At 41.0% G+C, this 21,639-nt stretch overlaps 1 long non-coding RNA gene across 1 annotated transcript in view, besides 4 other annotated features; it reads left to right on the forward strand.

Moving 5' to 3' along the window:
• The window catches only part of LINC03033 (long intergenic non-protein coding RNA 3033), an 84,174-nt gene that overhangs the window by 21,515 nt on the left and 41,020 nt on the right, over positions 1-21,639 (forward strand). The window lies entirely within an intron of this gene.
• Positions 2,258-2,387: an enhancer, noted in NCBI's record as "active region_8498". NCBI's record gives its function as "activates an Ori minimal core promoter by ATAC-STARR-seq in GM12878 lymphoblastoid cells {active_cell/tissue: GM12878}" and the evidence as "EXISTENCE:reporter gene assay evidence [ECO:0000049][PMID:35858748]".
• Positions 15,321-16,071: an enhancer, noted in NCBI's record as "H3K4me1 hESC enhancer chr14:62074093-62074843 (GRCh37/hg19 assembly coordinates)". NCBI's record gives its function as "activates a minimal SCP1, AML or CMV promoter by ChIP-STARR-seq in naive H9 embryonic stem cells {active_cell/tissue: H9 hESC(naive)}" and the evidence as "EXISTENCE:reporter gene assay evidence [ECO:0000049][PMID:30033119]".
• Positions 16,072-16,821: an enhancer, noted in NCBI's record as "H3K4me1 hESC enhancer chr14:62074844-62075593 (GRCh37/hg19 assembly coordinates)". NCBI's record gives its function as "activates a minimal SCP1, AML or CMV promoter by ChIP-STARR-seq in naive H9 embryonic stem cells {active_cell/tissue: H9 hESC(naive)}" and the evidence as "EXISTENCE:reporter gene assay evidence [ECO:0000049][PMID:30033119]".
• Positions 17,270-17,881: an enhancer, noted in NCBI's record as "OCT4-NANOG hESC enhancer chr14:62076042-62076653 (GRCh37/hg19 assembly coordinates)". NCBI's record gives its function as "activates a minimal SCP1, AML or CMV promoter by ChIP-STARR-seq in naive H9 embryonic stem cells {active_cell/tissue: H9 hESC(naive)}" and the evidence as "EXISTENCE:reporter gene assay evidence [ECO:0000049][PMID:30033119]".

Raw genomic sequence — 21,639 nt, forward strand, 5'->3', positions numbered from 1 at the left:
GTTCCTGACCTGCCCCAGCCCCTCCCTCCAGGCCTGGGGTTTTGGGTGTACGGGAAATAGTCTGACTGTCTCCTACTCTGCTGAGGTCAGTCATTGTTCAGAGTGGTGTATTAGTTCCCTATTTCTGCTGTAACAAATTACCACAACTTAGTAGCTTAAAGCAACACAAATGTACTACCTTATAGTTCTGGAACTCAGAAATCCTAGCATCAAGATGTCTGCGGGGCCTTTGCCTCCCAGAGGCTGCAGGGAAGTACCTGTTTCCTTGCCTTTCCCAGCTTCTAGAGGCTACCTCCATCCCTTGGCTTGTGGCTCCTTCCTCCACCTTCAAAGCTGGTGGCATAGCATCTTCAAAGCTCGCCCACTGTCTCTCTGACTATGACCCCTGCTTCCATCATCATAGCTCATTCCCCGACTCTGACCCACCTGCCTCCCTCTTATAAGAACCCCTGTGATTACACCAACCCCACCCAGATAATTCAGGATAATCTCTCTATCTCAAGGCTCTTAAATTAGCCACATCTTCAAAGTCCCTTTTGCCATGTAAGGTAACATATTCACAGGTTTTGGGAGTTAGGAGTTAAACATCTTTGGGGAGCCATTCTGTCTACCACAGGTAGTCACCTGGACAGCAGAGAACCGAAATTTATCTTGAGCCATTCTACTAATGATATGTGTCATTTAGCCACTGGAAACCTACTCACTTATCTGTAAAAATGAGATGAGTACTTGCCCCACCTACCTCAGAAAGTTATTGTATCACATGAATTAACATAGCACATCTGGAAAAAAAGAAATGCTGTAAAATATAAGGAATAAATATGATGTGTTATGGAGTCTGCCAAACATAGGTACCAAGGGCATGTTATATATTAACATAAAATACTGAAATTGAAAGAACCAGGTTTGAGTCCTGCTCTTAAAAATACTTGCTGTGTGACCTTGGACAAGTAACTTAAAAAGTATTTGGGTTTTGTGTGTAAAATTTGGAAAACGCTATCTTCTCACAATAGTATTGTGAAGTTAAAATCAAGTAATATAGGCTGGGGTGCTGTGTGAAATGCTACACAAATGTTCTTTATTGAATATTTCATGGACAAGTGCCCAAATACTTCTTCCTAGATAGATGCTTAATGAATCCAAGTAACGGGGTGGTACCTATCAGACCAATGCCAACTGGTTTGGAATCTCCACTGTATACAGTGAGTGAGAAATGAAAAGAAGATAGTAAACCGGGGGTCACTCCCATTCCCTCCCCGCTCAGTTACTGAGGGGTTACAGAGCAGGAGGAAGAGCCTGCAGCATCTAAAATGGTTGGTTAGTCAGAAAAATGCAGAAAAATGCAAAAATACTGAGAATATAGAATCTTCCTGCAATAAAGAGGTTTAGATTGAGGCAGACTTTCTCCAGAAGAAGCATCTGTAGTCATATTTAAGACATTCAAATAAATTGCTCAAGAACAGCCTTGTTTATTCAGCGCCTATCATGTAACTTGAGCAGAAATGGGCAGGAAATATGTGCCTTCTGAGTGTGAGCTATAGACCCACGGACATATTAATTTATTCAGCATACCATTTTTGAGCACCTAACAATGTGATAGACACTCTCCTGCTTCTGGGGATACAGCAGGAGGTAAACACAGAAAACCCGCCTGCCCTCATAGAGCTTATTTTCTAGTTGAGGAGATGAACATAAATCAAACGATCCACAGATGAATGTAAAATTATATTTATAACTCAAAGGCAAGGTTCACCGTGCTATGAAGCTTATCACAGGGCTTAGAACTTGGCCTCTGAAGGGTAACAGTTCAGCTGAGATCTGATGGCTGAGCATGTGTATTAAGAGGGAAGAGGAGGAGGGAAGAGATTTCCAGGCTGAGGGAACAGCATATGCAAAGGCAAAGAGGAAGCATGGAATATTGGAAGACCTCAGAGAAGCCCATTGTGTCTGGAACTGGACTCAGAGTGACAGGGACAGTGGTCAAGATATAGACTGGAGAGGTGGGCAGGGGAGTTCTGGCTACAAGGGTCATTATGTGGGCAGATACAATGGCTGACAAAATCAGGACATAAGGTTTCACTCAGTCCAAGGTTTTGTTTTGATTTTAATGCTCCTGGAAGAATCTTATCATTGCATGTTTCTAACTGGAAAAACCCCTTAAATATGTAATAATTAACTCAAATTCTCAGCTGGGTAAGAAGCACATTAAGTCACCCTGTGTAGGTCAATGAAAGGTGCCCAGGTGGGTCTTAGGTGTCCATACCCGGCACTGCAAAGACTGGCTCCAAGATGGGATGCAAAGACCAGAATGGGAATCACTGACAGCAGCTCTTGCCTCACTGTTGTGCTTTTCCAAGGATTTCACATGCATGAGCACATTGGACTGCTGCAAGACATCTGTGAAATGGGAAGAATGTAGTAGTTGTGGGGAGATGGCCAATGACTTGCCCCAGCACCCACAGTGACAAAGGGAAACCTTGAACTCATATTCACTGTTTCTAGATAACAATGGTTTTCCCCACAGACCACAACTGAGTCACCTACATTCTTTATTTCTCTCTCTCTCTCTCTGACCTCCTTAAAATAATAGAACTTAGAATGATCAAACTCAAAGGGGACTTTAAACACCTCTCAACTTATTTAATTCCCTCCTTTGCAAATTGTAACAAGTTTAAATATTTTGAGAAGCAATAGTATTTCCCCCAAATAAAGACTAAAACTGACTTCTCTCTTTCCACTAAAGAAAGAGAGAAGTCACTATTCTGGTCCTTTCTAGTGACTCATTTTTGGCTCTTGGAACATGTGCTGTCATGGAAAGACTCTTCCTATAATTCACTGTGACCTTAGAAGGCAGATCACTTTACCTCAGTTACCCTCTGTTTTCTCACTGTAAAATAAAAATGTAAAATAACTACAACCAATGATGACAAATTCATCTTACATCATAACCCAGCACACACACACACACACACACACACACACACACACACACACACACACAAAGTGAGAGAGTATTGAAACAAAAGTTCCAGGAATCTGTACTTATTCTTACTAGTACAATGTACACTATTTTCATTCTAGTCTGTTCTATTCCATTTCATTCTATTCTTCCAAATAGCTCTTAGATATCCAGTAAATGGATTTTACTACCCACTAAAATGTGAAGTCCTCAGGTTGACAAGTGCTAGTCTGGATACTCTCTGAGGCACCCTCCAGTCCTGGTTCTCTGACATCCACTGGGGCTGCCCAGAGTCTCCTGGAGGCCTCTTTCCAGCAAGGCAGGTCCCCTTCTGCAGCCGCAAGAGTGACTTGGAGACACTCTTTATCAGTCCTTGGGCCTCTAGTCCTTGGACCAACTAGTGCTGTTGGTCTTAGGGCAATTTGCCCCTGCAAGTGTAAACAAAACACTGAACCCAGCCTTCTGATCACAGTTAGCCAAAATTAGGTGGAGAAAGATCCACATTCAGAGTCCAACTGCAGAGTTTGAGAGCTTGGCCATTCTCTGCAAGAATCCCACCCAAGACGCCCAGACATCATATACACCCAGACCACACACATAGGCACATAGACCACACGTGGTAATCCACGCCTACTCACCACACATGCCACATACAAACACATACACAGCTCCCTCAACATTCACACATACCACACAGTTATCCACACGTAAATACCCACACTCACCCATACCATGTGTACATACATACACACAGATACTTTACACACACACACACATATACATGTACACACACACACTCACCATACACTACACACATACCACAACACACACGCATACACAACTCCTGAGAATCCCCACAACTCCTTTGGTGTAAAGCAAGAAATCATATAATTTGAAGATGAATGAGTCAGAGGGAAATAATTTTTTTTTTTTTTTTTTTTTTTGGAGACAGAGTCTCACTCTGTCACCCAGGCTGGAGTGTAGTGGTGTGATCTCGGCTCACTGCAACCTCCACCTCCCAGGTTCAAGTGATTCTCCTGCCTCAGCCTCCCGAGCAGCTGGGATTACAGGTACCCCTCCAGCATGCCCAGCTAGTTTTTGTATTTTTAGTAGAGACGGGGTTTCACCATGTTGGCCAGGCTGGTCTCAAACTCCTGACCTCAGGTGATCCACTCACCTCAGCCTCCCGAAGTGCTGAGATTACAGGCGTGAGCCACCGCGCCCAGCCAGAGGGAAATAATTTACAGTTAATCCATACTATCTCTTCACTGTTCACTCACTAGCACAGAGTTGGAAAGAGGATTTTCAACAGTTGGAACAATTTGCATAAAACTAAGCTGGCAATGCATTGAAGCACTTTGCTTTAAAAATTGTGCTGTTAAAAACAGTCAAATGTATATTGCTACTGTAGTATTTCAATGATAGCTTTTTTCAAGTTAATCAAATTTTCATTTTATGAGTACTATTTTTCATATTCTTTTTCATTTGCTGATTTGTAATAGCGTAAGACTGTACGTTTATGCTTATACCTTTATAAAGATACACATTTGCTTCATGTTTTGAAACAGGTTTTAATGTGTGCTATAAATGTGTGCTCTTAAAAAGTACTGTACATATCATTTTACTGAAGCTTTAAAGTTTATGAATTCTGAATATTTAAAACTATAATAACAGTATCAATCCAAGCATTTCAGTATTAAGTAAAGTAAATCCCCAAATCCTGGTACTATTTGGCCTTGAAAAGTACTATTTCCCACGCTCCCATGATGAAACCTGAAGTTGCTTTCTGTGCCCAGAACAGTGCTTCCTATCCTGAAAAGCTCTCAGGAAATGTCTGATGAAAGAATGCATGAAAAGAAAGAAAAAGAGGCAGAGAAGAAGGAGGGGGAAGAGAGAAGAAAAAGATAAAGGAAGAAAAGGAGGGAATGAGATTGGAGGTGGGTGGATAAAGGGAGTGAGATAGACAGAAAGTCAACTGTAGCCTGCTTCTGACTCAGACGTCTTTTCTCTGTGGAAAATGGAGGCCAAAGACCATGTCGGATCTTGTTCAAAATATGATTGCTGGAACCCACCTTGTGAAGTGGCAACTTCATGGGACAGTCACTGGAAAATTCAGCTTTCCATCTGCAGTAGAGGAAGCAAATCTTACCGAGACATTTGACAGACACAGATGTTTAGTCTTAAACATTATTCCTATGGTCACTTTGCTATGGTAACAAGAACTTTGTCATGGAAATATTTGCATCGCTCATTTGCAATTGTTTTCTTTTCATCTCTAAGGCTCATTCGTGAGTTTTGGAAGGAGAGTTATGGTTTTATTGTTTCTCCTAATGATAAAAATAATACATCCTCATTATTTTTGAATAATGAGAAAATAAAATAAGCATAAGCAGAAAGTAAAGTAATAATGCCTATTATTCAAAACATCCAGATATGATAGTTATTAACATTTGGTTTTCATAAAATATATGTAAATATGATCATACTGTATATTCCATTACATAATCTCTTGTTTCACTTAATATATTGAAGACATCTCTGTCCATCTTTTAAAATTATTTCATAGCTTTCTGTTCTCGTTTGACAAATCTTTAGGTTTGCCAATGTTTTGTTATGATAAATGATGTGCTAAAGAACATTCTTGTACAGGCATTTTTATGCATTTACCCTGCTATTTCCTTGGGATAAATTCTTAGATGTGAACATTTAAATGTGAGTATATACATTTTAAAATACTATTTAAATTTGCTAAATTGCCCTCCAGAAAGCGTGACTCAATTTACATTCCCTTTAAAGTGTGTGAAAGTACCTATTATCTCATGCCTTCATCAGCACTAGTTATTATCATTCTTTTAAACGTTTTTCAGTTTTATAAGTTAAAAGGCATTTTCATTTTTATTTTTATTGGCATTTTCTTTATACTAGTGAGGTGAAATAGCTTTCATGTTGGCCATTTGCATTTCTCCTTTTTTGTGTAACTCGTCTGACCATGTTTTAACTGTATTTTACCTTTTCATAGATTTCCAAGAGTTCTTCATAATTCAAAACTATTAACCTTTTGCCGTCATATATGTTGTGAATTCTTTTTCAGTTTTTCATAACTTATGGTATGTGGTTTAGATACATAGAAGTTTTAAGTGGCCAGTATTCAATGATTTCTTTAATGTTTCTTATTAAATAATGCTTAGAAAGGAATTCCTAATTCCAAAATGATGTAATTTTTTTACCTATACTTTTTGATTATCTTTTGTTTTCTACATTTTTATTTTTAAGCCATTTGGGATTTATTTGATGTGTGGAGTGAGGTAGGGAATCTAGATTTTTTCTTAACTTGTCAACAAGTTGTCCCAATAACCTTTGGACCGAATAGTCCACATAGTCTTTCTAATGATTTGAAGTGCCTTCTTTGCCATACTCTAAATTTTTGCAGATCCTTGAGTTCTTCTGTCACTTGTCTTTTTACTTGCCTGAAGTCCTGTAGCCGTGTATGTTAGTCTTTTAGAACTATGTATTATTTTGACTATGCGGATTGAAAGTTCTCATTCCAAAGCCTCCTCAAGCTTTTAGAATAATGACTGCCACTTTTTATAGAAAAAGCAATGTCAATTTATTTACTTTGGAGATGTGCTAGAGGAGGGAATTCCCCCACCCCCCACCCACCATGTCCTTGAGTTTCAGATGTGGATAGACCTAAACATTTTCTATTTTAATCTCCTAATTTCACAGATGAGTTCCAAAAGCATAAATTGACTTGTTCAATGTTAACATAGCTAGCAGAGCTGAGACTAAGGCAAGACTAGACCCAAAACTAATTAATAGAAAACTGAGACTAGAACAAAGGTGTATAGCCCTAAAACCATGCTGGAGGAAGATGGTCACAGTGAGAGTTTGTCAAAGATGGCAAACACAGGATTAATAAAAGTTTGGTCCTCTCTGTTCTAGATCTCCAGCATCTGACTTCTTTAAGGGAAAATGAGCAGTTTCTGGAGCACCAGCTTAAGAGAGAAGTTAAATGTACAGGAGCCCTTTGATGTTAACTGACTGAATCCTCAGAAAACTCATAAAAAGGAAAGAGCACAGGCACACTAAATAGCACACAAGTGCACATGTGCTTCAGTAGTAGTAGCTTACCCAGCATTGGGCTTTCAAAGAGAAGTTTCAGGCATTTCTCAGTAGTGCCACTGTCACCCTGGTTGGCTCTGTTAAGGTCATTTAGGTCAGACATCAGCAAGCACAGACAGCTGAGAGGCAGGAAATGTGTGGCTCTGTGAGCAAAGCAAAGGAGAAAAGCTTTTTATAGCCAAGGCATGGGAGGAAGCACTGATAATCGGAGAAGGGTTGTGTGTTTTCTTTTCTCTATTGGGAAAACTCTCCAACTATGTTCTTTAAAAGCTAACCAGGCTCTCTCTTATCTTTCCCACCTCATGAAAAGTCATTCGCTAGCAAACAACCTTCCATCTAAGGGCACTGAGGTTTTAAAAATATGTGTAGTTTCCTAAAGATATTTTATAGTTTAATTCATTTTTATTAGAAAATATCGTCACATGGTTTAAAATTCAGATGTACAAAAGGATATACGATAAGGAAACTTCCTTCCATCCATAGCCCTCAGAGACCAAGTTTCCTATCCTGGGGAAAACCAAGTTCTAGATTCTTATTAACCCATCCAGAGTAATTTAGACATATTAAAATATATAAGTACATACAGATATTCTTTTGTGAAAATTTTTACAGAAGGGGTAGCATACTACACACACTGTTCTGCACCTTGATATTTTTACTTAGCATCTGAAGAATGTCCTGTATCCGTACATTAAGAACTACCTTATTCTTTGTTATGACTACACTACACTCGATTGCATGAATAAAGCATACCTTATTTATCCAGTTCCCCTATAGATGGACATTCATGTTGTTCCAAATTTTACTACTACAAATTATGCTACAATTAATGTATTATTTTATATATCAGCAAATTTGCATCAAGAATAAAGTCCTAGAATGGGAGGTGCTGGGTACAAGGATATGAACATTTGCAATTTTGTCAGAAATTGCTACATTTCCCCTCTTAGAGATTGTACCAAGTTAAAGCCTTCTCAGTAATGTGGAAAGTACCTATTTCCTCACACCTTTGCTGATACAGTGTGTTGCCAACCTTTTTTTTTTAAAACCTTTGTTACCTTAATGTGTTAGGTAAATAATAGTATCTCAGTATAGTTTTAATTTGTATTTCTTATATTATGAGTGAGATTCAGAATCTATTCATATATTTGAAGGTAATTTGTATTTCTATAAAGCGTTTGTACTCTTAGTCATTTTTATTTAGCATGTTATTGGTCTTTTTCTTATTGCTTCATAAGGACCCCATATACAAGAGGAAAATTAGTGATTTATCTGTGACTTTAGTTGCTCATATTTCCCCAAGTTTGTTTTTTATCTTTTAACTTTACAATTAACATTTTTTAAATTCTCTTTTATTTATTTATTTATTTTTGCCTGTAATCCCAGCACTTTGAGAGGCCAAGGCAGGAGGATCTCTTGAGCCCAGGAGTTTAAGGCCAGCCTGGGCAACATAGTTAGATTTCATCTCTACAAAAAAAAAAAAAAAAAAAAAAAAAAAGCCAGTTGTGGTGGCGTGCACCTGTAGCCCTAGCTACTCAGGAGGATGAGGTAAGAGGATTGCTGGAGCCCAGGAGTTCTCGAGGTTACAGTGAGCTATGATCACACCATTGCACTCCAGCCTGGGTGACCAAACCAGAACCTGTCTTAAAAATAAATAAATAAATTTATTATTATGGCTTCTGTGTTTTCAGTCAGGACTTTCTTAGTCTAAGATTATAAAAAATACTATCCTATGGCTTCCTTTTTACTCATTTAGGGTTTTTTGTTTGTTTGTTTTTTGAAACAGTCTCGCTCTGTCATCCAGGCTGGAGTGCAACGGTGCAATCTTGGCTCACTGCGGCCTCTGTCTCCCTGGTCAAGCAATTCTCGTCCCTCAGCCTCCTGAGTAGCTGGGATTACAGGCAGGCGCCACCATGCCCAACTAATTTTTGTGGTTTTAGTAGAGATGGGGTTTCGCCATGTTGGCCAGGCTGGTCTCAAACTCCTGACCTCAAGTGATCCACCTGCCTTGGCCTCCCAAAGTGCTGGGATTACAGGCGTGAGCCACTGTGCCCAGCCAGGTTTACTTTTTACTTTTATTTATTTAATCTGTCTGAAATTTATCCTGATTTAAAGTTTTAGGTTTGGATACAATTTTATTTTTTTCCAGATGGCTTACCAGTTATTTCCAACACTTAATAAATAATCTTTATTTTCCCTACTAATTTGAAATACTATCTGTATAATGTCTACATATTAAGGTATTCACATATTATAATTTATAATGAAACTTTTTTCCCTTCTAACATCTATTTCCAAGAATCTTTACACATCTTTCTTTTTTTTTTTTTGAGACGGAATCTCGCTCTGTTGCCCAGGCTGGAGTGCAGTGGCGCAATCTCAGCTCACTGCAACCTCTGCCTCCCGGGTTCAAGCAGTTCTCTGCCTGAGCCTCCCGAGTAGCTGGGATTACAGGCGCCCGCCACCATGCCTGGCTGATTTTTGTATTTTTACTAGAGACAGGGTTTCACCATCTTGGCCAGCCTGGGCTTGAAGTCCTGACCTCGTGATCCACCCACCTCGGCCTCCAAAAGTACTGGGATTGCAGGCTGAGCCACCGCACCCAGCCTCTTTACGCATCTTATAATGACTATATATAAGTCTCTTACATTCCCTGTAAAATCACATTTTAACAATTTTCTTCCTTCTCCTTTGCTTGTAAAATGTTATCCCCTGCAGGCCAGTGCCTTCTCTAAACCTCTCTCCCATTCTTAGCGTCAGCATTTCTGCGTTCTCAGAGATTACCCCTACTTGTAGAATCACCTGTGCCTCTTCTTTCTCTTTAGGAAGAGATTACAAATTGCTCCCATCCAGATGGGCAAATATAAATGGCTATCAGTGTGAGATTAGAGTTTCCAGGCTCTTAGCAGAGGAGCCAGGATTATCCACACAGGGAGGCTGCCAAAGCCTAGCGACTGGAGATTTGCAAGGAAGGATGTGTAGAAGAAGAGTGATGGACACTGAGTCTCAAGTTACACCAATAACGATCGCATGAAAGAGGAGCTAGAGGAGAAACTAGAGGCAAAGTACTGGAAGAAAGAACGAGAACGATGAAGAATGCAGAGCCTCTGAAGAGAAACCAGATAATACAGAAAGATCAGGGAGGTTACGGATAAGAACACCACTGGATTTGGTGACGGGGAGATCACTGGTGCTTCTTAGAGCAGGTCACTTGACGTATTCCTATCCCTCTACCCTTCCGGTTATAATTACTTCCTCTTCTGGGTAAATGAAGTTGCTGTCAGCAGACCAGCACCCTCAACTAGAATAATTAGAAAAGCCAAATACAATGCAGAAATTACCTATTTGAGGGAAAGTGATAGCTGCTGAGGCAAGGAACACTGGAAGGGCTAATGCACTGGAGAGAGAAACGTGAGGAGAGTGAGCTGGCTTCTGCAGCCGCTTTTACCAGCGGGGCATTTTGCAGGAGGCTGAGAACCCATTGCAAAATGCAGTGCAAAGGCTGGCAAAAGACTGCTCGGGATAGAGAAAATAAGAGTTTTAGTGGAAGATTTGAAAGGGCCTCAAACAAGACAGCCTGTTTTCACCTGAGGACTTTTGCTGCACACTGAATTTCTTCAGAGCAGGGATTCTAAAATGCAAATGGAAAACCTGCCTCTAAAAAGCAGAGTGCAGTTTTTCAGCATTCTTGTAAGACTAAGATTAGGGTTTACTACTGGCTGGGGGAGGGTTCTTGCAGAATACAATAGGGCCTTTGTTGAAAATCTAGGAGGTCAGAGATGAACCTGTGGAGGGCTGAGACTTACGAGAGCTATAATTCAACCTTGACTCAGCAAATCACTAATTGGATTAACATGATCAGCCACCAGTCTGTGTATAGCAGGGGGAGGGTACTCTCTCTCTGAAAAAAGCTATCATCTGAAGTCTCTACAACTTTGTGTAGATAATGTCTGACCTGCCATTAGAATGTATGAGGTACAACAAAAGACAGGCTCACATAACTGAAAAACCAAGAGAAAGAAGACAGTAGAAACAAACGGGTGATCCAGATGTTCAAGTTAGTTGACAAGGACCGACAATTGCCTACCACTGTATGTTAAAGAGGAAAAGATGAACAACATTGGTGGAAAGATAAAATCAATTGTTACCTCCTCTTGAGGAGCTTTATTTGGTTCTCCCTTTCTAGAAATCATCTTTTCCTTCTTCATATTATCCTGAAAATGTATCTATACTTCTTATTGCATGTACCACTGCAGAAAGTAGTATCTTGCAGTGGCCAAAAGCATGGAGGTTTTAAAGTCACATTGGGTTAAAATTCAAGACCAGCCACCTTTGTGACCTTAGATAAGTTACTTATCTTCTCTGAGCCTCAATTTCCTTGTCTATAAAATGGAGTTGTTGGCTGGGTGTGATGGCTCACGCCTGTAATCCCAGCAGTTTGGGATTACTGCTGAGGTGGGCGGATCACAAGGTCAGGAGTTTGAGACCAGCCTGGCCAACATGGTGAAATCCCATCTCTACTAAAAATACAAAAATTAGCTGGGTGTGGTGGCACGAGCCTGTAATCCCAGCTACTCAGGAGGCTGAGGCAGGAGAATCACTTGAACCTGGGAGGCAGAGGTTGCAGTGAGCCGAGATTACGCCATTGCACTCCAGCCTAGGTGACAGAGTGAGACACTGACTCAAAAACAAAACAAAAAAAAATGGAGTTGTTAAAATAATTCAGCGCCTTGAGTTCCTAGGTAAGCAGACTGAAATCCAGCTCAGTGTAAAACGTAAAATGAAACCTAAGATTAGCCAATCAAAAACCACCAACTAACCTCTCACTAGGGACTTTTCACTGGAATGATCTAAATAAGGCTATTGCTTCATTTTAACCAAATATTTTCTTTGCCTTGCTTCTGCATTCTCCCTATAAAAAGGCCTTCCCTTTATGCTCTTCAGTGGAGCCCCAAATAACTTGTGGCTTGCAGCTGCTCAATTTGTGAGCCCTGTCTGATCACATTAACTCTTTAATATTTTAATGTGCCTAAGTTTATCTTTTTACAGAGTCAATATAGTACTTTCCTCATAAGGTTGTTGTGAAGAATTCAAATATGTTCATACAACATTCAGTTGATATAAAAATGCATTTTTTCCTCTAGTTTTCCTCATGAACTCCATCTGCTGAGTAGTACAGAAACAACCTTAATTTTTGTCCAATCTACTCATTTCATACTGATATAATACTTTTAATATTTCTATAGGGATATAAAATCTCTGGGGGAAAATGTTAAGTCTTCAAGATGGCCTTTGCTTCTTTCCTCCAAGATGGTATCTGGGAGTTTGAGGGAAGGTCTATGGGTCAGTGACCCTGTGGCAGCAGAGGAGAGATGGGATCCTTAAACCCATCCAGTGTCCTCTGGAGCCTTTCTCATCTCTGCTGTGGAGTAACTGGACAATTCTGCTCCTTGGCCTGGGAGGCAGGGATGTGTACTTGGTCCCATTGGTCTGTTTGAGCTCAATGGACAGATGCTGCTAGATTCCAGAGCCCCGGCCACTTGCCCCTAGTCCCATAAACACTCTCCTTTTTCATGGCAGCTTCAGGCTTCTGCTGGACCATCAACCTTCTCAGCACCTTCCAGGGATGTGAAAGAACTCATACTGCTTCAGGACAGTTACCCTCATCATATACTTCCCTAATATCCTGTTGTTGTCCTTTATAACACTTTACTAAATTAGTAACTTTATTTTTTTGTATGAGAACATTAATTTGATATTTTCTGCCATACAGCATTGCAATCTTAGTGGTACTAGGAATCCTGTCCAGTTTTGTTCATTATTGTGTTCCCAGTGCCTAGATCAATCAATACTGCTAAATAAATAAATGAGAAACTCCTAACTTCAGGGCCCTGATATTTCAGAACACAGATGATCTTGCCTTAAATATTTTCCCATCCATACCAGGAACCTTAGTTTTCTTCCCAACACCATTCTGCCTGTGTTCTTTCCTATCAGAAGATTGATTTTGTTTGGTTGACAAAATGTCCAGCCCAGGGACTTTATAAATCATGAATTTGCCATGAACAAGCAATCCTGTTCCCAACACCAACAATAGATCAGAGTAGTTATGCCATGTTGTTCCATCTAATGAGCTAGAAAGAAAAGTTGAGGGGGGTGATTTTGTCCTTGATTTCCATCAAGAATATAAGTAGAGCTCTCTTCAGTCTTCTCTGCCCTCAACCCCTCACTTTTAAAATGTGGCAGAATGAAGATGTTATGTTTGGAGCTACAGTAGCCAACTTGCAACCATAAGGGAAAGACCTGAAGAAATGCCAAAATGATCTCATTGAGCTCCTGTACCAACCCTGGAACTATACCCCAGCTTTCTTGTTATGTGACATCATGCATGCCTTTATCATCTATGCTACTATTATTTGAGCTTTATATTGCCAGGAGCCATTTTTTTCTGATACCCTTTGGAACAAATCCAATTTTGCATGCATTTTATGACCTAAAGCTGGGCCACAGATCATTAGTTCTGTTTTTACTTCCATTTAAGTTATAGTCTATGCTCAGACGTAAGCCTCATTAACGTCCCAGGCTACATGTCAGATATGGCTTTAGGTGACATCTCTGAAGCACTCCGAACAATGAAGATCTAAATGGTCACACCTAGTGACCAGGCAGTTGCAGATCAAGGGAATGGGATGAGGAGGCAGAACTGTAGAGACAGAGTAGTGAGGGCTGAAGCCAGGAAAGCAAAGAGAACCCAAGAGGGTATCAGAACTCAAGGGAAAACAAGACTGGGGCGGAGGAAAGGTCCAAGCAAATAGTCATCAATAGATAGATCCAGAAAAAGATGGGAAAGGAAAAATTTAAATCTAGGAAATAATCTGACAATAATGCACAAGACTTTTTGGAGAAAATTTTAATTCCAATAATAGATATAAGCAAAGACTTGAATAAATGGAGTGATATGCTGATTGTGTGGAACAATTTAACATTTTAAGAATATCAGTTCTTCCCAAACTGAAGCTGTAGATCCAATGCAATTCAAGTAAAATGCCCACCCCAAGTTTTTAGGACTTTGAAAAACAATTTTAAAATTCATATGAAGAATAAATATCCACAGACAGCTAATTTTTTAAGTGTAGGCAAAAAGGAAATTTGCCTTGCTAGATATTAAGGCACATCACAAAGCCATGATTAAGAAAAGGGGAAAAAAGTCAAGTTGACCAGGAGAACAGAATACAGAACCCAGAATTAGACCCAGCTATAGAGGAGAACATGTTATATGATAGAGGGGGCATCACAAATCACTACAGAAGCAATAGATTAAGTAGTACATGGTGATGGGAAAATTGCCTCCATTCAGCCCCACCTCAGACAATTTAAAAAGAAACCCCAATGGATTAAATGCCCAAACGTTTAATATAACAGTTTATAGTGATAGGAAATAATATGCGTGAATATCTCTGTGACTTTTGAGTGGAGGCATTTCTAAAGAAAAACCCGAAAGTACAAACCATAAGGAGGAGAAAAAAATACGGATTTGTCTACAAAACAAAATTAAAGATTTATTCCAACAAATACTACAGACAAAGTCAACAGGTAAACTGGAAGAAGATGTTACTGACATCCCAAACCAAAGAATGTAGATCTAGGAAATCCTGCGAAACAGTAATAAAAAGGGAAAACAGGCAAAATATACAAGAGGAAACCTCTTAATGGCCAATAAGTGTATACAAAGATGCTAAACATTACTAGCAATCAGAGAAATACAAATTAAAACATCAATGAGAGATCACTTTAGAGAAAGTCGGATAAAATCAAGTATAACAAAGACACTGCTAGAGGGGTGGAAATAAATGCAGCCATCCTGCAGAGCAATCTAGGAGTCCCTAGAGAAATCAAGGATGCATTCTTGGCCCTGAGTATGTGCCCAAGAAAACACTGATGTGCAGATCATAAGAATACATGTAAAGCTGTCCATCATGGTGCGTGTGTGTGTGTGTGTGTGTGTGTGTGTATGTATGTATGTAAACAAGGACTGATGTTTGTTAATAAAGCAATGGTTTAGTTAAACATAAACAAATACAAGATGGGCCACTATTCAAGCCAGAAGCGGGAAAGGAGATTTACATATAGCAGCGTGGACGGGTCACCAAAGCATATTGATGATGGCCGTGGTACGTGAAGTGAGTAATTTACTCTATTCTCCTGAGGTCCAAATTAAATAAAATGTAAATACATAGAGCCAGTGGTCACAGAACTTCAGTGTCTCTGAAATGTTTATGTGCATGAGAATCATCTGAGGTATCTGTTAAAAGAACAAATTTGAGGGTCCCACACACAGAGATTCTGAACCTGCACTTTAAACATGCATCCCAGGTGATTCTCCTATAAGTGGACCACAGGCTGCACTTGGAGACACCTTCAACTAGGTAAAATCAAGCTACCAGGAGAGTGATCAGAAGTTAGTAGCAAGGGAAATGGCAGTAGAACATCTGCCCAGCACCGGCAGCAAGGAAATGACTCTGAAGCAGCTGGCCCTGTCAGCAGCAGCTGCCTCTCTCCCCTCCCTTTTTTTGTGAGCCAATCTTAGTGGGCCTGGCCTGAAGGGGTTTGGGTGATGGAAACTGACAACTGCCGTCTGGGGAGCGTGTCTGGAGAGACAGGAAGCCACTGGGGGGCTTTTTCTTCATGAGGATGCTGCTGTGCGTAGTGCCACCAGGGGTCCTAAGCTTGATGTGACCATCCAGACTCACAGTGGGCTTCTCCAGGTTGGGCTGTGGGTTGGGGGGAGGTGGGCTATGAAAAGAGTGAGAATGACATATGGGGGACATTGTCAGATGCCAATGCTTGAGTCTGTTCCGATGAGAGAAGCACTGCTGAGCCTTCTCCTGGCAGATCTGGTGGACTCTGGGTGCAGATGGTCCAGGAGTCGAGCCACAGAACCCCGTCATCCCTCCAGTGTCTTCATTGCTCTTGCCTCCTTTGGTCCCTGCCTCTGGCCTGTGCTTTAAGAGCTGGACTGTTCTGAGGCATATTGTGTACCATGTGGAGGGGATAGTGACTGCTATGATTGTAGGCAGATGGGATGTGGTCTTAAGCTTGCCTTTAGGGGTGTCTGATGGCATGCTCAGCCCTGCATCTCCAGCCAGAGACGTCTCCCTCCCTGTGAATGGATTACAGCCACCCCAGTCAAGAACGGACTCTGGACTCCTACTGTTATTTATCCAGGCACTGTTCCCCAACTGGCCCAGAGAACTAACGGAAGCCTGGATTCACTGTCCCCTTCCTAATGTGCAGAATGGCCTGGTTTCCTAAGGACAAGGAAGGTTTTTCAGATTTATACAAACAGACCGTGCATATTTGTGGGTATCCAGGTAACAAACCCAGTTTGAAACTCCTTTTGACAGCATAATTCATAACTCCAGACAGAAATGCTAACGTGAACACAGACACTCCAAAGGTGGAAAAGATTAAGAAATGGTCCCAAACATAGCTCTCTCTAGAAATCATCTGATTCTCTAACACACCTCATTTTGCAAATGTGAGTATTGTCATGTAAAGAGAAAAGAACCAAAGAGAAAAAGAAGACTGGCAGAGAATCCAGAGACACAAATATTTCAGGCTTATTAATAACCAGTAAAGCTTTCTTTCTTAGGAACTTCTTGAAGTCAGCTGTTTGATGCTGATGGTGTGTGATGTGTAAGCAAAGGTCTGTGAATCTGAGAATCCCCATGTGCGTCTACAGGACCGTTCTCCCTGCCCCTGTTTTAATGAGATCCAGGGCAGCTGCAGCTCCCATTGTGCTGAGTGGCCTGGGCAGGCTGACAGAGCTATTCTTCTCTCCTAGTAATGTGTTTGCTTAAGCATGAACATTAGTGTCAGAAGTGCTTAGTGCAAAGCAACCATTCAGGGGTGAAGCAGTCACTGCCAAGTCTATATGTCTGGGAATTCATTATGTCTATTCGTCTGGGGGTTAGGGTTAGGTAAACCTTGTATTTTCTAATGAAGTTGAAAAGGTAAAAAACAAAAACACTATTTATAAAATCATCTTTTTGGGGTGAGTCCAGCTGTGAAAACCCCAATGCCTTGTTCAGGCCATGGCTTCCTGAAAAACCGAACAATAGCTCTTGTTATGTGGGGCATATCCTCTTGCCCTCATCTGCCCTGTCTTCTGAAACGAGTGAAATGAAAGTTATTTTACACCCGACCTTGCACAAAGCTAATGTGCCTAATTAGCGGAAGATGTGCTTTTCGGATGGGAATCTGATTTTACTCAGTAGTGTCCTATCTTTCACGAGATGAGGACACATCATGGGCAGACTGTGTATTTTTTCTTGTCTTTCTCACAAGAGCAATGAATGTGATCTAAACTGATGACTCTCCTGTCTGTCTTGCCAGTATGGCCAAAGGCATTCATTTCCGAGGCAGCTGGCCAGGGCTGAGCCGCGGACAATTAACTGGGCCACAGGGCCCTGGGCTCACAACCTTCCTGCTGGATCCTGAACACAGGGCATTGGCATAACAATGAGCCACACTAAGACTTCCCTAGTAGGAAGCTGTCTGTTTTCATCTTTGTTGATCTTTTGGATAGATAATACCACGTGTCCTTCCCTCTGCTGTGTCTCCAGTACAGTGTTCCTGGAGTTAATGTGTATCACCAGCTTCCCCTGTAATGGTCCACCCACAGTGGTGTATAATGGGCAGGGAGGTGAGAGAGAGCAAGTGCAGGCAGTAATGGGGTGAGAATTTAAAGACAATAATAAAACTGACTCCAAGTCAGTCTGCTGCTTATTATCATCAAATGCTGACAATTTTTAAACAGTGTCACTGATAAAACACTCTTCCTTGCAAGCTCTAAACAATTACTAAAGTTGCTGTTGCCGCTGACATAGGTGGACCCCGTCACAGACATTCCTTTGCAAAGTAAGTTTGAGACAGGTGGGATTCATCCAAGCTCCCTTCAGCACATTTTTTATTTCCAGCCTGTGGGATGCTACACATTCCTGCATGTAAACAGTTTCGAAATAAGCAATAATAACATAGCAATGCTATGGCCTACGCTTTAACAGCTGGACTGTTGCTTCTTCTAGACGAAGAAACAAAATGTGAATTATTTCCATCCTATTTGACCATAAGGAGTTTTTAATTTGTATCTAAAATTTAAAACAATGAAACAGATTGCAAACTGCATGGTGTCACATTTTTGTTGGTTGTGTGTAAATTTTAAGTTCATATATGAAATATTTACTGAATTTGAATATCTTTAAAATTGAAATTTATTCTTTATAAAAATTGTTCATTGTTTAAAAACAGAAGTCCGTGAGAGTGAGTGCCTCTTTCCATTTTATGCCTTACCCTACTCCCAGCTGTGCCTACTACTTGGGAAGCAGGAACAGCTAGAGCACCTGCAGGTGACCTAAATGTGGCCCACCAGGCCACATGATGTTTAACGGATCCGATGTTTAATAGATCTCTTTGTTTTGTTTCTGTTTTTGTTTTGAGACAGAGTCTCACTCTGTTGCCCAGGCTGGGGTGTCGTGGTATGATCTTGGCTCACTGCAGCCTCCGTCTCCCAGGTTCAAGTGATTCATTCTCTCAGAGAGGGCTCCTATTGACAGAATTCCACCTGGAATTTTGAATCTGGAGTAGGTGACTCGAAGGTGCAAGGATATCTTGGAATCCTTTCTCCTGGGACTGGCGATGGTGCCAGGAGTGCTGTATGGTGTTCAGCAGCAGCGATGTTTAACCAGACCCTTCCTTTACTGTGATTTTGGCTGTTAGTTTGTAACCAAGCCACCCTGGTTTCTGTTTGTCAAGCCTGATTCTCTGGGCTTGACATTGATTATTTGGGCTCCCAGATATCCTTCTAGTGAATTTCTCTGCTGAAGTTAACCAGAGTCAGTGTCTGTCATTTGCGGCCAGTAACTCTTACTGGAATTCCTAATTCAGAGGAATACTTTGAGGATGAATTCTGAAACCCAAGATAATTGTGTACCACAGACAAACAAAAGCACTATAACATGTAGCACAGCAGCCTTACTGGAAATGTCAGCGATATCTTCTAACTTGTCAAAGCATATCTCATACTAACCTGTCATGACCACCCTGGCCAGATCTTAGTAGATCCAGCAAGACAAAAACCAGAGGATCTCTGTGTTTTGTTTTTGTTTTTGTTTTGAGACAGATTCTCACTCTGTTGCCCAGGCTGGGGTGTAGTGGTATGATCTCGGCTCACTGCAGCCTCCACCTCCCAGGTTCAAGTGATTCATTGTCCTGCCTCAGCCTCCCAAGTAGCTGGGACTACAGGGGTGCATCACCACGCCCAGCTAATTTTTGTATTTTTTTGGTAGAGACAGGGTTTCACTGTGTTGGCCAGGCTGGTCTCAAACTCCTGGCTTCAAGTGATCCGTGCTGGTCTCGAACTCCTGGCCTCAAGCAATCCCCCCACCTGAGCCTCCCAAAGTGCCGGGATTACAGGCGTGAGCCACTGCACCCAGTCTGATTGCATTCTTATTTCCACTGTAGCTCTAGCAAACATCTAGCTTTTATGTTAGGTTCTATAACTTGGAGCTAGCTTTTCAAAATCTCTAGACTGGGGCTTCCCCATATTTCTATTGGGATAATGACTTCATCATGGGAAGATCAAGTTTGTGTAAAGCACTGTATTATAGTGCCTGGCACATACTGCAGCACCTGGGCAATTTTTCCCTCACTTAGTCTTCAGTAAGCACCTACTCAGGACCCAGGACCATTTGAGGCACTGGAAAGCTACTCATATTTTTAGTGTATTTGCTGTGTCTTCCTTCTGCTGTTTTGCTAAGAGATGATTAGATGGTCTTTCTAAATACCAAGATGAATAGCCACAGGCACTAACTTCTTCAGCCTATCTCCTATCTGCTCTTCCCTCCCACCCCCTCCACACACACACACTTACTCACACGCTCACAAACACATGCCCAACCTAATTCAGGGACTCACATACAGCTTAGGAAAGGCAGCTTCATCATCAGTCCCACCAAACATCTCCTGCTTCTGCAAAGCTGCTTCTACCATTCTGACATGTGTAAGTCTATTCATTGTATTGTATGTCCTCATAGCAGCATATATGTTTCCTTTACTGTGCTTACAATTAGGTAATTATACATGTAATCACTATGCAATTACTGCTGACTTTCCCCCAGTCTCTGTCAGGACCGTCCATACTGTCTCTCTCACTTTTGTACCCATAGCACTTGGTATAATGCCTGGTACTCAAAATACATTCTTTGAATAATTGGAAAACAGCTCTTGAAACCCCACACCATTTATGGGATCTTCTGGGATTTAGGCATCTCATATTCCCACCATTATGCAAACTGTCTCTACTCCAAACTCTAAAAATGTCATAAGATTTGCCCCTTACTGTTTCAAGACAGTAAACATACACTGCATGTGGTTAATAAATTTAATTCAGATATCAATTTGAGGTCCATAGGGATGGCCTAGATAAGTGGGCAACCCAACTAGATTACTGTTTTGACGCTTCATTCAACAGACATTTGTTTAAATATTTTTTAAAATTTTTCTTAGAGGCGAGGCAAAGGGCTTCATGGGGATAAACTGACCATTGTAGTAGAGGTTTGCCTCTCCTTGGTTGTCCCTTGCAGTTCAGCTCTGGTCCCAAACTGGAACAGTCCAACGAAGAAAAAGCTCCTATAGTTAATTGGATTCACCACTTTTAGAGGGGAGTTTAGAAACCCTTTTTTTTTTTTTTAGATAGAGTCTTACTTTGTTGCCCAGGCTGGAGTGTAGTGGCACAATCTCGGCTCACTACAACCTCCACCTCCTGGGTTCAAGCAATTCTCCTGCCTCAGCCTCCCAAGTGACTGGGATTACAGGAGTATGCCACCACACCCGGCTAATTTTTGTATTTTTAGCACAGACAGGGTTTCACCATGTTGGTCAGGCTGGTCTCGAACTCCTGACCTCTGGTGATCCGCCCGCCTTGGCCTCCCAGAGTGCTGGGAATACAGGCATGAGCCACCACACCCAGTCAGAAACTTTTTTTTTTTTTTAAGTATTCTCTTTGGAAGTCTTGTTGCCCCAGCCCAAGGAATTTGCTAAATTATCCTTATAATCACAAACAGTACTCTCTCTGAGAGGGCTCCTGTTGAACTCAGTTTTCTCTATCTTCTTATATTTTCAGAGATGTTTCAAGACCCATTTTAGACTGATACCTCATTACATCCCCATCTGGCTCACTCTTTAATTTGGCTCTGGGTTCCCTATACCAACTGTTTGGGGTTTATAATAAAGAATGTACATGTTAATTAAATATGTTCATGCCACTTCCAGAAGTCTCAATCCTGGAAAGAAAAAAAATGCAAAATAAGAAAAAACATCTCTATGCTTTAAGACGTTTTTTGCAGTATCTTGACGGAGAGCAGTGAGAACTTATTGAATCATTAAGTGTTCTGCCAGATAATATATTAAAAAAAGATTTACTGCAAAGAATTGGCTTATGTGATTGTGGGAGATGGCTAGGTAAGCCCAAAATTCATAGAGCAGATCATCAGGAAGGA

Source organism: Homo sapiens, chromosome 14 (genome assembly GCF_000001405.40).
Source record: "Homo sapiens chromosome 14, GRCh38.p14 Primary Assembly".
In the NCBI taxonomy this organism is placed as follows: Eukaryota; Metazoa; Chordata; class Mammalia; order Primates; family Hominidae; genus Homo; species Homo sapiens.